This window comes from Homo sapiens, chromosome 7, assembly GCF_000001405.40.
Source record: "Homo sapiens chromosome 7, GRCh38.p14 Primary Assembly".
NCBI lineage: Eukaryota > Metazoa > Chordata > Mammalia > Primates > Hominidae > Homo > Homo sapiens.
The window spans coordinates 148,631,365-148,650,549 of record NC_000007.14 but is presented as its reverse complement, the minus strand read 5'-3'; the positions used below and the strand labels follow the sequence as shown (position 1 = coordinate 148,650,549).

Sequence of the window (19,185 nt, the reverse complement as noted above, 5' to 3'; positions counted from 1 at the left end):
TTAATAATAAAATGTGGTAGAAACGCAGGTCTTCTAGTTTGCAGAAACACTTGAAAGCTCCACTCTCCCTTCTGAAGAGCTGGACTCAGCGGGAGAGCAGCCCTTACAGGGAACAGGGAGTGGAGGGATGGCCGCCTGTTGACAGTTGGGCATTAGCAAGTGGGAGGAAGAAGATGTCTGGCTTCTCCATTCCTTCTTTTTTTCTCTTTCTGGTTTTGCTAATTTATTTGAAAATTACATTTGTTCACGTCAAATTACCACTTGATACTCATTGTTGGATTTCTTTAGGTCATCCTGCTGTTCTCTCAGTTTCCCAGGGGTTTGTGTGTCTGCCTTGTGCTATTCATTTTCCCACGGCCTTGTTGGTTGCTTCCACAGAGGCAAATGTAAGTGCTTTTCCTTGCTTTAGATTATGTACTGTGTGCTGTAATCACTGTATCTACTATTTTTGTAGGTGGCATGGACATTCTGTTGACACTGAATCCAGGTACTCCCTGGAGCACTTTCTACGCTTAGCAGAGCTTTTTTTTTTTGAGACAGGGTCTCACTCTGTTGCCCAGGCTGGAGTGCAGAGGCATGATCTTGGCACACTGCAGTCTCTACCTCCAGACTCAGGTGACCCTCCCACCTCAGTTTCCTGAGTAACTGGGACCACAGGTGAACACCACCACACATGGCCAATTTTTAAAAATTTTTTGTCGAGACAGCGTCTTGCCATGTTGCCCAGATTAATCTTGAACTCAAGCAATCTGCCCACCTTGGCCTCTCAAATTGCTGGGATTACAAGTGTGAGCCACATTGTTGTTACATTATCTACTAAGGTGGCTTTCAAACCCCTGTGGAGAGTGCCTATTTTACCGATATACTGTTTTGCTTTCATTTCACACATCACTTTCCCAAGAATAGCAGAGACAAGAGACATCTTTTCCAAAACTCTATCAAAATGACAGAGCCTTGGCCATGGCCTTCCCCACCTCTGCAGATTCTGTGTCACACAGCTCACTGTGGACAGTTTGCCAGCTTTTGGGCATGGCGAAAGAACGATCTTTGGAAGAGCAGGGAAGCCCAGAAGTTCACAGAAAAGAAAGCTCTCAAATTCTTCTTGCAACAGTGGTAAGTAAGAAAGACCTTAGCTTCTTCTGAAAAGGCCGTATGTCCCCTGGGACAAGGATGAAGTGCAGCGTTGCAGGGAGACCTGTCCAGCCTAGGTGGAGAGCACACAGTGTAAGAAGCGCAAGACGCACCTCAGCAGGAATTCTGGGCTGTTTAAAGCATGCAGGGGTGTCTCCAGGTTTTTCAGGTGGTGTCAAGGAATTAGCCCCAAATCTAGAGGGCATTTCATTTACTTTGGCTTAACATGAGAGTTTTTGGGAAGAAAGGAAAAGTACCACATTTAGGCCAAACAAAAAGATTACTAACATTTCCTTTGGAGAAATGTTGGAGTTATTAAATGTTAAAAATTCAAACAAATGTGTATGGCGGTGTAGTTTTGTAAGGGGCATAAATACTTAGTACATCTATTAATTTCCAGGGTCATCTTCATAAGTGGGTAACATTTTTGTAGATGCATATGAACATATGGGTTTATATACACACACATATTCATATTATGTGTGTATAATACACACAGGTAATACACACAAACATCTATTTATAAATAATATGAATATATTAATATATGTATTGTGTTTGTATATGTATGTGTGTATAGGTATACATACATACAGTACATATATAAATGTGTATTTGTTATTTATAAATGTATATATAATCCATGTATACATACATATGTATACTCTATGGTACACATATATAAAATATATATCATATATCAACATAAAATATATGTGTATTATAAAATATATGTGTATAGTATACATATTATACATATGTACATAATATATATGTATTTTATGTATGTATAATACATAGTATACATATGTATGTAAAATACATGTATTTTACATACATATATTACATAGTATACATATGTACATAAAATGCATGTATTTTATGTACATATACTACATAGCTTACATATGTATATAAAATACATGTTTATTTCATATATGTATATTACATGGTATACATATGTATATATACATGCATTATATGCACATAATATGGAATATATGTGTATATATTTATACATGTATATATGTGTATATATTTATACAGGTATACGTGTATGTATGTGTATATATTTATACAGGTATGCGTGTATGTATGTGTATATATTTATACAGGTATGCGTGTATGTATGTGTATATATTTATACAGGTATGCGTGTATGTATGTGTATATATTTATACAGGTATGCGTGTATGTATGTGTATATATTTATACAGGTATGCGTGTATGTATGTGTATATATTTATACAGGTATGCGTGTATGTATGTGTATATATTTATACAGGTATGCGTGTATGTATGTGTATATATTTATACAGGTATGCGTGTATGTATGTGTATATATTTATACAGGTATGCGTGTATGTATGTGTATATATTTATACAGGTATGCGTGTATGTATGTGTATATATTTATACAGGTATGCGTGTATGTATGTGTATATATTTATAGAGGTATGCGTGTATGTATGTGTATATATTTATAGAGGTATGCGTGTATGTATGTGTATATATTTATAGAGGTATGCGTGTATGTATGTGTATATATTTATAGAGGTATGCGTGTATGTATGTGTATATATTTATACAGGTATGCGTGTATGTATGTGTATATATTTATACAGGTATGCGTGTATGTATGTGTGTATATTTATACAGGTATGCGTGTATGTATGTGTGTATATTTATACAGGTATGCGTGTATGTATGTGTGTATATTTATACAGGTATGCGTGTATGTATGTGTGTATATTTATACAGGTATGCGTGTATCTATGTGTGTATATTTATACAGGTATGCGTGTATCTATGTGTGTATATTTATACAGGTATGCGTGTATATGTGTGTGTATATTTATACAGGTATGCGTGTATATGTGTGTGTATATTTATACAGGTATGCGTGTATATATGTGTGTATATTTATACAGGTATGCGTGTATATATGTGTATATATTTATACAGGTATGCGTGTATATATGTGTATATACACATACTTACATGTGTTCATATGCATCTATTAAAATTTTACTCATTTATGAAGATGACCCTGGAAATTGATATGATAAGCATGTTGAAACTGAGTCTTTATATATACATATATACACATACATGCACACATACACATATAAACATACACACACACACATATACACTAATAGATTATATTGACATTGCTGCAAATCCTTCTTTCCCCATATATGATTATATTGCAAGAGCCCTCTCTCTACATTTGTATATCTGTGTATATTGTGTACTTTTCTCTTTTGAATTATTTGTTTTCTTTGCCATCAGGAAATGTGGCAGGCAGGAAAGCGAAAAAAGAGAAGAGAGAACAGGACTGGGTGACCAAAAGATGCCCAAACACTAACGTGAAAAGAATAAATGCTTAATCATAATAATTAGGGACATATGCCCTTTTTGAATCTCATCTGTTTTAGCTTAAGGAAAGAAATTTTTAAAATAACATTTTTAAATGAAGGAAAGTCTTTGTCTTACTTTCTAGAACCAACAAAGTCAACCTTATGTTGCAAGTCATTATAGCAAAAGCATTAGGAAGGAAGGACCATTTAAAGTGAGATCGGTCATTAAGTTCCTAACTACTCGCTTGAATCTCATAAATAATTTTAAGTAGAAAGGGTTGTCAAATGTGATTAAGGTCATTATTTCATGTTAAAGTAGCCCACAGGCTTTCTGATATAAAAATCTTTCTATAGAGAGATGAACTAAGATTGCTTCAAGGTTAAGGGTCTCTGGAGCCCATTCCATGAAGATATATTACAGTAGAGATGATCAAGTGCAGAGATGTCACCTGAGAAGATTGTACAAGGTTTCTCAAGGTGAGTGGTCTCTGAACAAGAACAGATTATATTATTTTAAGAAGATTTGCTGGGCGTTCAATTTCCAAAATGAATTATAATATACATTTTTTTCAACCTAAAAACCTCACATCTGTGTTGGGAAAATAATAGCCTAGGCATCATTTAGTTTATTTAACAAATATTAACTGAGAGGGTACTCAGTGTGCCAGGCACACTTCTAGGCTCTTGGGATGCAATGGGGACCAAATGAAGTCCCTGCTCCCAAATAGCTCAGACTCTAGTGTGGAGACAGGCAATAAAAGCAATTATAAAAGATAGCAGAGCTCATCATCTGCAGTGAGAAACAGACAAATAGACAATGACAAAGCCCAGTGGTAAATGTTACGGACCGGGAGAGGATGGGGCATTCTCCAAGTTGGGAGGCTAAATCTGTATTAGTCAGGGTTCTCTAGAGGGACAGAACTAATAGGACATATGAATGTATGAAAGGGAGTTTCTTAAGGAGAATTGACTCACACCATCACAAGGTGAAGTCCCACAATAAGTCATTTGCAAGCTGAGGAGCAAGGAAGCCAGTGGTGGCTCAGTCTCAGTCCCAAAACCTCAAAAGTAGGGAAGTGGACAGTGCAGCCTTCAATCTGTGGCCAAAAGCCTGAGAGCCCCTGGCAAACCACTGTGTGAGTCCAAGAGTCCAAAAGCCGAATAATCTGGAGTGTGATGTTCAAGGGCAGGAAGCATTCAGCACGGAAGAAAGATGAAGGCTGGAAGACTCAGCAAGTCGGGTTCTTCCATCTCCTTTCCACCTGCTTTTTCTAACCGCACTGGCAGCTCATTGGATAGTGCCCACCCAGATTGAGGATGGGTCTGCCTCTCCCACTGGGAGAGGCAACTCCCAGAAACACCCAGATACACTCAGAAACAATACTTTGCATCCTTCAATCTAGTCAAGTTGACACTTAATATTAACCTTCACAAAAGCCTATCTTCCTCAAACAAGTGATGTTTAGCTGAGACTTGAAGGATAAGCGGGGGTTGGCACAGCCCAGGTAGGTGAGGGATTGAGGTGAGGTAAAGAAAGGGTGTTCACAGCACAGTGGCCAGCATTGCAAAAACCCAGAGGTGAGAAGGCCCAGGTGAGAAGGGGCAAGTTGTGTCTTAGGAAATGGTTGTGTGGCTGGAAAAGGAATTGAGAAGAAATGGCGGAAGATCGGCTTGGAAAGGCATGCAGAGACCTGGTCATGCTGAATCTTGTAAGCCGTCATCAGAAATCTGAAATTTGTTTTAAGGGCAATGGGCAGCCACTGTTAAGTTTCTAGTAGGGAAATGACATGAACAAATTTTGTTTAACAAAATCCTTTTGAAGGTAGCGTGAAGACCAGATTGGAAGAGGAGCAGGGTCGTAGACAGAAAGCCCATCAGCCGACTGCATTGGTCAGCCGGGAAACAGAAGAGGGGGTGGCTGCTACTAGTGGGTGGCAGTGAGGACTATAAGGAGAGGTAACACTGACCATGTGCCAAGTACTCTTCTAAGTGCTTTCTTTCTTTTTCTTTTTTTTTTTGAGACAGAGTTTTGTTCTTGTTGCCTAGGCTGGAGTGCAATGGCATGATCTCTGCTCACCGCAAACCCCTTCTCCTGGATTCAAGCGATTCTCCTGTCTCAGCTTCCTGAGTAGCTGGGATTACAGGTGCCTGCCACCATGCCTGGCTAATTTTTGTATTTTTAGTGGAGACGGGGTTTCACCATGTTGGCCAGGTTGGTCTTGAACTCCTGACCTCAGGTGATCCACCCGCCTTGACCTCCCAAAGTGCTGGGATTACAGGCATGAGACATCGTGCCTGACCTTCTTCTAAGTGCTTTCTATGCACGAGCTCAGTTAATCCTCATAGCATCCACATGAGGAAGGCTGTATTATCACCACATACATCTTATAAATGGAGAAACTATAGAAAGGCTAAGTTGCCTGCATCTCCAAGTAAGTAGATCTGGGATTTTTTGTTTATCTGTTTGTTTTTGAGCAGGGTCTGACTCTCTTGCCCAGGCTGGAGTGCAGTGGCACGAACCTGGCTCACTGCAGCCTCAACCTCTTGGGCTCAAATGATCCTCCTACCTCAACCTCTTGTATAGCTGGGACTACAGGTATGTGCCACCATGCCAAGCTCATTTAGGTCTCGCTATGTTGCCCGGGCTGGTCCTGACCTTCTGGGCTCAAGCGATCCTCCCACCTTGGCCTCCCAAAATGTTGGGATTATAGACATGAGCCACTTGCCTGGCTAGATTTGGGATTTGAAGCCCCATTGTCTAACTGCAAGTTTAACCATTTCCCTACAGTTTTCTCTCCAGCGGTAGGCTGATTTCAGGAACATTTAGAGTTGACTTGAGAGCATCCAGTGATTGACTACATTTGGGAACCACGAGGGTAGAAGACGCTCAGGAGGATGACTGGGTGGGTGATGTTGCCTTTAACTGGGAGGAAAAAAAGGAGGATTTTGGTTTTGTTTTTGTTGGGGGGACATGGAGATAAGGAGTCTAGTTTTAGGCATTGTTGAATTGGGGATGCCACGTGAAGATGTCCAATAGAGTTATAGACGCAGAACTCAGGACCCAGGCCAGGACTGGCAGGTATGGATTTGAGAGACCTCAATATGAATGTAATTGAAGCCAAGAAGTGGATGAAATTGCCCAGGGACAGTATTTGGGGTGATCAGAGAAGATACCAATGCCAAGGGACACCATTAAGGAATGGATATAAGAAAATTAGCTTGAAAAAGAGGCTGACAATGTGGCTGGAGAAATTTGAGAAAATCAGAGGAATGTGGAGTCACAGAAATCAATAACAGAATGTTTTCAAGAAGAGGACGACTGCTCCCAGCTCCTTGGGAGGCTGAGGCAGGAGGATTGTTTGAGCCCAAGAGATAGAGGCTGCAATGAGCTGTGTTCATGCCACTGTACTCCAGCCTGGGCAACAGAGTGAGACTCTGTCTCTAAATAAATAGAATAGAATAAGAAGGGGACCGCTGAACAGGGTCAAATGCTGTCAGCAAGGTGAGGACTGACACGCTCACCATAGACAACAATGAGGTCCCAGGTAAGAGCAACTCTAGCTGACCAGAAGCACCCTCCAGACTGTGGTGGGAAACGGAGATGACGAGAGTGGATAACTCAAGAAGGGAGCAGTGAGGCGGCTGTGGGAAGAGAACAGCGGGGAACACAGGGCTGCGGAAGTGTGTTTGATTTTTAAAATAGGAACCATCTGTATGCATCGACTCAAGTCTGAAGATAAGCAAGTGCTTCAGAAGCGAAAGATGGAGCAGAGAGAGGGGCAATGCAAGGCAAGGGGTTTTGGGCAGGGGCGGAATTCAGAGCGCGAGTGAAGTCCTGCCCTCAGACTGTGAGGGGAAACGTGCTCCTTGTGAGTGTGGATGCAGATATACATGTAGGCTTGGTGGTGGGGATCTGAGCATTTTCCCGTCAGAGGACTTCATCTTAGTAGCATTGAGTGAAAAGGGGAGATGGAGTGGGACCGGAAGTTTGAGGAGAGTAGACAAAGTTGTGAAATAACTAGAATGGAAACTCGGAGAGCGTGGACAGAGAAAGATTGTTAGATTGCTGGCAGCATCGAGGACCCAGTCAAGTCTGGCATTTATGAATTTCTAGTGGAACCAACCTGTGAGGTTGTCTGATATTCTCAAGCAGAGCCCAGCAGCCCGGGTGTACAAAAAGATCAGAGACCTTGGTTCAGTCTGAGTTGAGGTGTTGCCAGGTGGCTGGGGAGGATGGACAATGAAAACAATGAAGCAAGAATGAGTTGAGGGTCTGCAAGAGACTGGGTGAAGGGTAGGACATGGACTCTCAGCCAGATGGGGTAAATGGAGAGTGAGGAGGATACTTGCCCCAACTCTCTCACTGATTCTGTTACTTTGGGTAAACTGTCGTACCTCTGGGCTTCAGTTTTTCATTCCTTCTAATCACTAGAGCCAAACAACCCCCATTATGCTGGAGAAGCAAATTCCATTGATGTTCCCAGATCATGGATACAACTCTTTCATTTTCTCATAGAAATGTGCAAAATATCCAGCACTCTTCCCAGAAACCAAGAATAAACCTCCCATTGATATTGGTAATCTAACCCTGCTATAAACTTCAAGTTTGAATCGTTACTTGATTCAATTCAACTCAACTTAAAGACATAGTCACTGAGCGTGTACTTTGTATAAATTACCGTGACAGCAGTTTACTGTAGACAGTCCTAGCTGTGTTGTTGTCTAACAGAAAGGGAAAGACTGGTATATAAATAAGTATATTGGGAGAATAAATCTTAGTATTCAACCCAGGTAAGAAAGAACAATTTCTCTATTTATTTAACAACTTAATATCTGTTTTGAGCCCTACTTTTTTACCAGGTTGGAATAAGCTCAGTTGGGGTCCTCACCATTTTTTGGGTCATGACTAATTCTAGGGGCTTACATAATCCGAAGCCATCAGGAGGGGGTGCTTTTTGGTCCTCATTGTCATCTGTCAGCACGATCTGCTGAGACATCACTGCCCCTGTGGTTCTGTATTATCTGTTCGTGCAGGCAGCCGTGGGGACACACTCATTCCCTCTGCAAGGTCCCTTCAGGACCTACCTTTTGATTCTCTCTGCTACTTCTAGGCCTTTCTGGGTTACACGTAACCAGTGTGCCTCTTTGCAGTATGCATAAACACAGCACTCATCCATTTTCCTTATGGAGTCTTGCTACCTCCCTAAGGTTCTACCAGGGGCACAGGAGAAAATGCTGCTTCTCTCCAGGACCAGTGAGCATTTTAGCTCTCTGAATCTGCTTCCATCTTTCCTTCTTGCTTCTAACTCTGAGAATCCTTTGGTCCAGGAAGATTGGGCAGGTGAGATAGAGAATCTTACTATTACAAATAATGTTTGCTTCCAAATCAGTTGTCTGTGCTGTGGGGTGTTTCTGTTACTAGGAAACTTCTTTTTCTCTCTTTTCTGCTCTCTCACACCCCTCTAAGGCAATGAGCACAAAGTGGACCAGCTGCTTGAATGTAGAGAAAAGCAAGGGGGAAAGAAGTAATGTGGGGGAAATCATGGAAGCTATTCCATACAAGGCAGAAATAGGGTGTGTTATGAGATGAAAAAACACTGTGCTCTGGGGCTTCAAAGTATATTAATAGCGCTCTTTGGTTGCACATGAAAGAAATGAATACTGGTTAACTCCAGTCAGAAAAAATAATGGTTTTATTGAAAGCCTTCTGGGTAACTCACTGAGTAGAAAAAAGAGCTTAACAGATGCTTTGAGAATGACAGGAACCAGGCAGCACTGAGGATTGCAGCAAGAAGAACGCAAGAGCCGTCGAGGGTGCCACGATCAAATGACTCAGTTCCAACCACCTTCTGTCTGGTGTGAGCAAATCCCCAGAAGATCGGCTATGATTGGCTGAGCTTGTTCACACTTGTGGCCAGGGGTTCTCTACCTGGAAGCTCCATCAGACCTATAGTGGAGAGAAGTCGTACTCCCAAGGCAGGGGAAGGCAAAGGAATGTGAGGATGCGGGATGAACAAAGCAACCGATGTCTTGCTCAAAAGGAATGGGAGAGAAAGTCCCATCCAGAAAGCAGGACAGCTTAGAGGACAGGGCATTTGTGAAGGACTTTGAAGGATGGGAAGGGTTCTGATGAACAGAGATATGAGATGGAGATAGGAAGGGAATGCATATTCCAAGCAGATAAATTTGGTAGGGTTGAAAATGTTAATTTGGAGTCATATTAAGAAACTTGAGGCTGGGTGTGGTGGCTCACGCCTATAATCCCAACACTTTGGGAGGCCGAGGTGGGCAGATCATGAGGTCAGGAGTTCGAGACCAGCTTGGCTGACATGGTGAAACCCTGTCTCTATTAAAAATACAAAAATTAGCTGGGCATGGTGTTGGGTGCCTGTAATCCTAGCTACTCAGGAGGCTGAGGCAGGAGAATCGTTTGAACCTGGGAGGCAGAGGTTGCAGTGAGCTGAGATCGTGCCATTGCACTCCAGCCTGGGCGACAGGGTGAGACTCTGTCTCAAAAAAAGAAAAGAAAAGAAAAGAAAAAAAATTTGAGAAGGCTGGGCGTGGTGGCTCATGCCTATAATCCCAGCACTTTGGGAGGCTGAGGTGGGTAGATCACTTGAGGTCAGGAGTTCAAGACCAGCCTGGCTAACATGGTAAAACCCATCTCTACTAAAAATACAAAAATTATCCAGGCATGATGGTGGGTGCCTGTAATCCCAGCTACTCCGGAGGCGGGGGTCGAGAATTGCTTGAACCCAGGAGGTGGAGGTTGCAGTGAGCCGAGATTGCGCCACTGCACTCCAGCATGAGCAACAGAGTGAGACTTCATCTCAAAAAAAAAGAAAAAAAGAAATCGGAATGAGGAATTGTTATGGGCCAAATTGTGTCTCTCCACCATTGCCCCACCAAATTCATGTGCTAAGATTGTAGCTCCCAATTCTGCAGAATGAGACTGCATTGGGAGATGGGGTCTTTAAGGAGGTAATTAAGTTAAAACGAGGCCATTGGGGTAGGCTGTAATTCCAGGTGACTGGTGTCTTTCTAAGAAGAGGAAATTGGGACACGGACAGATACAGAGGGAAGGCCATGAAAACACACAGGGAGAAGACAGCCATCTGCAAGCCAAGGATGGAGGCCTCAGAAGAAACCAACCCTGAAGACCCCTTGGTCTCAGCCTCCAGAAATGTGAGAAAATCCATTTCTGTTGTTTAAGTCACTCAGTCTGTGGTACTTTGTTATGGCAGCCCCAGCAAATGAAGACAGACATCTTTTCTTATTTTGGATGCAATGGATACCCACAGAAACTTTTTAAAAGGGGGGATTAGGTAACTAGACTTACGATTTAGGAAAATGGATCTAACAGTGGTCTCAGGGGTGGGTAGAGTCTGGAGGTGGGAGACCAGTTAGTAGACTACTGCAAAAGTCTTTAGAAAGGTATATGAGGCTGTTAGCTTGGATAGTAGCAATGAGGTTGAGAAGAGACTGGGATTGTGGCAATGATTATAGAAATGGAATTTCAAGACTTGGTTGCAAATTGAATATTGGAGGAAAGGAGAGGAGAGAGTTAAAGATGCCTTCAATTTTTATGACCTGTTAACTAGGTGATATGGTTTTGCTGTGTCCCCACCCAAATCTCAACTTGAATCGTATCTCCCAGAATTCCCGTTTGTTGTGGGAGGGACCCAGGGGGAGGTAAGTGAATCATGGGGGCCGGTCGTCTTTCCCATGCTATCCTCGTGATAGTGAATAAGTCTTATGAGATCTGATGGGTTTATCAGGGGTTTCCGCTTTTGCTTCTTTCTCATTTTCTCTTGCTGCTGCCATGTAAGAAGTGCCTTTCGCCTCCCACCATGATTCTGAGGCCTCCCCAGCCGTGTGGAACTGTAAATCCAATTAAACCTCTTTTTCTTCCCAGTCTTGGGTATGTCTTTATCGGCAGCATGAAAATGGACTAATACACTGGGAGAATGAGGTAATAAAAGAAGGCTCTTTTTTTATTTGTTTTTAATTTTTGAGACAGAGCACTGCTGTGTCACCTAGGCTGGAGTGCAGTGGCACAATCATAGCTCACTGTAGCTTCGACCTTCTAAGCTCAAGCAATCCTCCTGCCTCAGCTTCCTGAGCAGCTGGGACTACAGATACACACCATCACACCTGGCTAATTTTTTAATTATTTGTAGAGACAAGGTCTCACTATGTTGCTCAGGTTGGTCTCGAACTCCTGGGGTCAAGCGATCCTCCTGCCTCAGCCTCGCAAAATGCTGGGATTACCAGTGTGAACTGCTATGCCTGGCCAAGAGGGCTCTTTTGATGACTGACAAAAATGCAATCAAACTAGCTTATGGACAAATGGAATTGGTTACTGCTCTAATAGTGAGACCCAGGGTCTTGCATCGGGCTTTGGACGCTCCTGGTCCTAGGCACTCGGGGGCTCTGGTTTGCTTTTCTTTGGGTGCCGTGCCTTCCTTCTGAAGCTTCCATGTGGCCAGGGAAGACAGCCGCAGCATCTTCACAGTTCATGATCTAAGACGACTCCCTCTCGTCTCCATATGCCAAATCCCACTTAGGGCAGGTGCTTACTCCTTGGCCCTATCACTGCGGACAGGAAGATGGGGTACCACTGATGGTGAAGCTTTGGTTTGCGTTCCCTCCATTTAGGCCAGGTAGGAAATTTTGATTGACAGTTTTGTAGATCTCCGGTGAAAACAGAAATGCAGGGCAGACAGAAACAGTTGATATCCACCCCACTGGGTTTGGATTTGGATATTTTATTAGGCTGGTGCAAAGGAAATTTTTTTTTTTTTTTTTTTGAGGCAGTCCCGCCCTGTTGCCCAGGCTGGAGTGCAATGGCCCAATCTTGGCTTACTGCAACCTCCACCTCCTGGGTTCAAGCGATTCTCCTGGTAATTACTTTTAATGGCAAAAACTGCAATTACTTTTGCACCAGCCTAATATTTTTGGACATGCCAATATCGAGTAAAGGATGGGGTGCAGGGAAGAAATGGTAAGAGTTCATTGACAATGTGGTTTCGAGCTCAAGAGAGAGGAGTTACCCACAGAGAGGCTGTGACTAAAGCCATGGTAGTGAGTACATTTCCTGAAAAAGAGAATAGCCATTGGAAAGAGGTTGGAGGATGGACTGAACATTAGGGAATTTCTATATTTGGTAAAGAAAAAAGGAAGAAAATACAGGAGTAGTCAGAGAAGGGCAGGCCATCCAGAAAATAGAAATTGATGGAAGCCAGTGAAGGAGAAGGTTTCAAGAAGGATGGAATGTTGGTAGCTTTCAGAGGTGAGAACTGAGAAAAGACAGGGATCATTAGGTACTTAGGAGATCACTGGTGACCTCCTCATGGCTTTGGGGGCGCGGGTCAGTGTCATTAAAAATGGTTACTTTTTTTTAAAGACAAAGAAATTTTATCGCCATAAATTAATCCAGTAGGTATATCTGAGAAAGCACACATCAGTTGGTTAGAGCAACAAGCGCCTCTACCACGTTGCCCATGTGTTCCCGCAAGCCGCCTTCCGCTGCTGCTCGAGATATCTCCATCTCGGTCATTACCAGCTCCAGATCTTCCTTCTTGATACTGCCTATTGCCAGTTCTTTCTTCCCTTCCTGTTTGGCTTTCTGCTCCCGGGACCTTCTGTCTCCAGTCACAGACATGGCCGTCTCCAGATTGGAACTCTGATCTCCTTCTCCTCTGCATAGTCGGTGACCCGCTCCAAGTCCGCCGCACTGCTGTCAGTCATGTTTCCGTGGCTTCTCGGGAGGCCGCTCTGGGCCACGGGTCTCAGTCTCTAACTCCAGCTCCACATCCCCCTCGGTCGCCGCATCTATTTCACCACGCCGCCGCATAAGCCCCACCTCACGGCGACAAATAAAAGGTTACATTTTTTAAAAAACCTACATTTTTAGGGGCGTCATCAGCCATAAAGTTTATGGGCAAGGTGAGACATTTGGATGCAGACTCAGAAAGTTTGAATTTATTGGCACTTTAATAAATAAATGATGAACTCTTTTGTGTATCTGCAGTTGGCTTATGAGGAAACTGAGTCCCAGAGAGGGGCAATGACTTATACAAGTTTTCCATGGGGCCTGGTGGAAGACTAGGACGGTCAACAGCAGCCTGGAGAGCCTGGAGTCTGCGTCAATATGCAACCCTAGCCCTGCACGCTGGGCGTTTGCCTGAGGTTTCCAGTGCACCGGAGGCGCGTACTCGTCTGCCTAAGAGGGTGAGGAGGGTGAAGGGGATTGATGAAGCAGGTAACCATGGCCCTGGAGAGGCCATCCTCATTGAATGGGGACCACTGTTACTCAGCTCAGCTGATCACTGCCACATGGGAATGAGGCCCTAGGATTGTCCAGATGTGATTTTCTAAGGGAAGTTGGGAATCTGAAGTTGGGAACGTTTATGCGAACTTCCCCACTCTTTCCATATTGGCAGCTAATTTAAAAACATAAAACCACTGTGTGAGTAAACAGGTTTGTGGGTTGGGCTGCCAGTTTATACCCTCAGCTCTGTATGTGAGGAATAGGGGCGGGAAAAAAAACAGCCAGGATGTGGAGAAAAGATGACATAAAGAGGCTCCACCTACAGTTCAATCTGGCAAGAGGCCTGGGTGTCAAAATTGTTCCTGAGGTCCTGAAAATCTGGACACCTCTAGTATGTCAGCACAGAGTGTGTGACTTTTAAAGCCACCAGTGGTCTGGATCTTAGTCTCCTCTTACCTTACACAAATCTGGAAAATTCTTTAGTGATTGCTATTTATTCCTTTTGTTTTATTTCTTTTATAGTATTATTATTTTCTTTATTCTTTCCTTCTATTTTGAGAACTTTGGTATTTTCCTTTTTGAGTGAAAAATACTATGGATTCTGGATTAAAATAGCACAGGAGAAGTTGAAATAAGCTTTTGTCAGTTTTGCAGATATGGTTATTGCTATGACATCTCATTCATTCAAGTCTTTATTTTTGCCTATGTACAAGACAATGTGTTATAACTTGCAAGGTGTAGGAAATGAATAAGAACAACCTGTACCCATATTCTTGAGGCATATAATTAGGAACTGGAGAAAAAGGACCAACATAAATAGATATAATCATTCATTCCTGCAGCTTCCTGACCATGATGTCTACCACGTGCACATTCACAAAGTTACAGTTTAGTGCAGAGAAAGACATGTGTACAGATAATTTTGGTGTTATTCATGTGCTATAATAGAATGATCAAGAAACTTGGAGGAGCAGAAGAGAAAGCACCTCATTCTGCTTGCATGAGCTGAACACTTTAGGGAGGCTTCACGGAGGAGGTGTTGTTTAAGATAAGTCTTTAGGATGACCAGGGATTTGCACAGCAGATGAAGGGTGGCCAGGGTTTCTAGGAAGAAGGTGCAGCACCTACAAACTCAGAGGCATAAAGGAACATCACACATTCAGGGTGTGATGGATGAGAAACCAATATGGGAAGTTCCTCAGGAGAGCTACAAGCCAAGCACTATGCGATTCTCATTTACATCCCGGTCCTGCTGTTCCATGTGAAATGAGTCAGGGCAGGTGGATGTCTTAGGCACACCAGGCATTCTGGTGCCGGGGCATCTGCCTTATGTCCTTTACCCCTGAGTATTTTATTGGTCTTCTACTGGAAAGAAACCATCCATGTCATCCAGGCTTGGGGAAAGTACAGGAGCATCTACAGATTCCTTCAAAATGTATATTTCACTTCCCATATTTAAAGCCAGGAGATGGCCGGGTGCAGTGGCTCACGCCTGTAATTCCAGCACATTAGGAGGCCAAAGCAGTTGGATCGCTTGAGCCCAGAAGTTTGAGACCACCCTGGGCAAGATGGTGACACCTCGTCTCTACAAAAAATACAAAAATGAACAGAGTGTGCTGACGTGTGCTTATAGTCCCAGCTACTTGGGAGGCTGAGGTGGGAGGATCACTTGAGCTCAGGAGGTCAAGGCTGCAGTGAGCCATGATTGCAACACTACATTCCAGCCTGGATGACAGAGTGAGGCCCTGTCTTAAAAAAAAAAATTACAAATAAAGCCAGAAGACCAGGTGTTTTTACATGAGTACTACTTGCTACCATAATCCACAGAAAAAGTGTCTCATATTAGTATGGAGTTAGTAATTCTTTTTCATTAGATGGTAGGCTATGTTTCAAATAGGAATTTCAGCCAGGTGCTGTGGCTTATGCCTGTAATCCCAACACTTTGGGAGGCCAAGACAGGCGGATCACCTGAGGTCAGGGGTTTGAGATCAGCCTGGCGAAACCCAGTCTTGTCTAAAAATACAAATATTTGCTGGGTGTGGTGGTGGGTGCCTGTAGTCCCAGCTACTCAGGAGGCTGAGGCAGGAGAATCACTGGAAACGGTTGTGGCGGCGGGGGGGTGGTGTGTGGAGGTTGCAGCGAGCCGAGGTCACACCACTGCATTCCAGCCTGGGCGAAAGAGGAATTTAATGGAGCGATCTATTATCAACTTACATTGAATTTTGTCATCCCTGTGACTATTTATTGAATAGTTACAATACACATAACTAGCTATATGAGTTTGATTTTAAAGAAAAGATAATGCTTTTTACATTTGATTCCTAGAAATCAGTATTGTTGCCTTAATTCGTAATGAAAAAGAAAAATACCAATCAAAGGAAAGGTATATTTTCTTTTTTAGCAGAGCTGTGCAGTACAGTAACAGCCCAAGGGTAGAGTCTGGGCTCATGCCCTGAGCCATCCGAGGTGGGGCCTGGGGCCTCCCACGAGTGAACAGCACACACCTGAGGCCAGACCACACTCTTTTGCTTCATTTACACGTGTTAGTTCTCATGAACTATATCATAAATACATGTGGGTTTTCAGCCAATTTTTGGTAAGACAGTTTGTGTTTCAGGGCATTTTATCTACAGAATTTGATTTAAACATTATCAGATATTTACGCATTAAAAACAATTATATACGATACTAAGTAAAATGTAAAATACATTGAATTAACTCACTATCTTAGTTTAGAAATATACTTGAACTGTTATGAATGTGAGTTGTCAGCTGCCAATGATAGGATGACTAACTCATTCTGGGTTTGGCACTCAAAGTCCCACGTCCCAGAGTTCAAACCGCAAGGTAATTCTGCCCATCAAAACTCAACCAGGACCAGCTCAGATCCACATGCTAAGCTGTTTCTTACACTAGCTGTTAGAACTCAGTGTCTGACTGGAGCAGAAGTTAATGTAGCATACAGATCACTTGGAAAAGTGAATGACCCGTGGTTATGACAATCGATAAAAATATTAAGGTTGTACCAATCACAGTTTGACCATGAGTAGTGCAGAATATGAGAAAGGCAGAAAAGGCAGGTAGGAAGGTATGCAAAAAAGACTGGAGGAGGAGCTTAGGAGGCTTGACTTGACATTTCTAGAGCTTCCTCTGGAAATACCAGCTGTTTCTGTGTTTGTAAAAGACAAACAGAGCAGCCTGAAATAAAATGGTGAGATGGAAGTGTCTGATCTTCTGATGTCCCACCCTTCCTTATCCTCATTATCTCTCTCCACACCTATGTTAAGTGACAATTCCAGTTAAAAATCCTCATGCATGCCATTCTAACCTTTCTTCCTTCTTATGTACTGTATTAGTCAGTTCTTGCATTGCTGTAAAGAAATACCTGAGACGGGGTAATTTATAAAGAAAAGAGGTTTCATCGGCTCATGGTTCTGCCGACTGTACAGGAAGCATAGTGGCTTCTGGGGAGGCCCCAGGAAACTTACGATCATGGCAGAAGAAGGGGAAGCAGACACATCTTACGTGGCAGATGCAGGAGCAATAGAGGAAAGGGGGGCTAGCCATGGTGGCTCACGTCTGTAATCCCAGCACTTTGGGAGGCTGAGGCAGGCAGATCACCTGAAGTCAGGAGTTCGAGACCAGCCTGGCCAACATGGTGACACCCCATCTGTACTAAAAATACAAAAATTAATTAGCCAGGCTTGGTGGCACACACCTGTAGTCCCAGCTACTTGGGAGGCTGAGGCACAAGAATTGCTTGAACCCAGGAGGCAGAGGCTGCAGTGAGCCAAGATTGCGCCACTACACTCCAGCCTGGACAACAGAGTGAGACTGTCTCGAAAAAAAAAAAAAAAGAGAGAGAGAGAGAAAAGGGGGAGGTGCCACATACTTTTAAACAACCAGATCTTGTGAGAACTTTATCACAAGAACAGCACTAAGGGAATTGTGCTAAGCCATTCATGAGAAACTGCCCCCATGATCCAATCACCTCCCCCAGGCCCCACCTTCAACATCGGGGATTACAATTCGACATGAGATTTGGGTGGGAACACAGATCCAAACCATATCATGTACTATGTCCTTTAGTAAGTTTTTCCTTAACATTTTAAAATAAAAAATTTTAAACACACAGAAAAGTGGACAGAATTTTATAAGGACTGCCCATATACCCACCACTTGGACTATAAAACTAACATTTTAATATACATGCCTGATTTATCCCATATCTTCTATCTCTCCATCCATCAATCCATCTTATTTTTTGGATGCATTTCAAAGCAAGTAGCTTCAGCTCTAAGCACTTGAACACGCATACCATTAACTAGGGTTTGGTTTTTTGGTGTTTTTTTTTTTCTCTTGAGATAAAATTTATACACAATGAAATACACAGATCTTAAGTATATTTTCCCATGAGTTTTGACAAATGTATTCATGTGTGTAACCCAAACCCATGTCAAGATACAGGACACTCTCATCATACCAGAAAGTTCTCCTCATGCCTCTTCCAAGTTAATCCCTATCAGGATCACCATCCTCCACCTACCCCAAACAATTACTATTCTCTGATTGTTTTCCACTACAAATTACTTTCATCTGCTCTAGAACTTTGCATAATTAGAACCATAGAGTATGTACTCCTTGGAGTCTGATTTTCTTTGCTCAGCATGATGTCTGTGAGATTCATCCATGTTCATGGGTATATTGGCAGTATTTCTGGCCAGCATTCCATGGTATGGATGTATTATAATTTGTTCATTTTCCTTTTAATGGACATTTGGTCAGTTTACAGTTTTTAAATATTATATATGAAGTTCCTAGGGACCTAACTATACAAATATGTTGGTGTATTGTTTTCATTTCTCTGGGGTAAATACCTAAGGAGTGGAATCCACAGCATTATTTTAAATAACTTAACAGAGGCTTATTAGAAGGTGGCATCATGTCTCTACCTCTCCATCCATCTTGTTTTTCTCCTTTTCTCTTACTCTATTTTCTTCTTCCTATTACCGCCCCCCCCCCCCCGCTTTTTTTTTGAGACAGAGTCTTGCTCTGTCACCCAGGCTGGAGTGTAGTGGCTCAGTCTCAGCTCACTGCAACCTCCGCCTCCTGGGTTCAAGCAATTCTCTGCCTCAGCCTCCCGAGTAGCTTGGTATAGGCTCCTGCCACCATGCCTAGCTATTTTTTTTTCTGTATTTTTAGTAGAGACGGGGTTTCACCATGATGTCCAGGCTGGTCTTGAACTCCTGACCTCGTGATCCACCTGCCTTGGACTCCCAAAGTGCCGGGATTACAGGCATGAGCCACCACACCTGGCCCCCTCTTCTTTTTTCTATAAGCCACTCATTTCCTTCCCTCTTGTCTCTCCTGACAGGGTATAATGTTTTGTTACTATTTTCTAACTGTCCTAAAAATTCT

At 42.8% G+C, this 19,185-nt stretch overlaps 2 pseudogenes; both read right to left on the bottom strand.

Annotated features, from left to right (window-relative positions):
- On the bottom strand, positions 207-1,074 carry LOC100301516 (acyl-CoA thioesterase 13 pseudogene; annotated as a pseudogene).
- Positions 12,897-13,370, bottom strand: LOC643438 (huntingtin interacting protein K pseudogene; annotated as a pseudogene).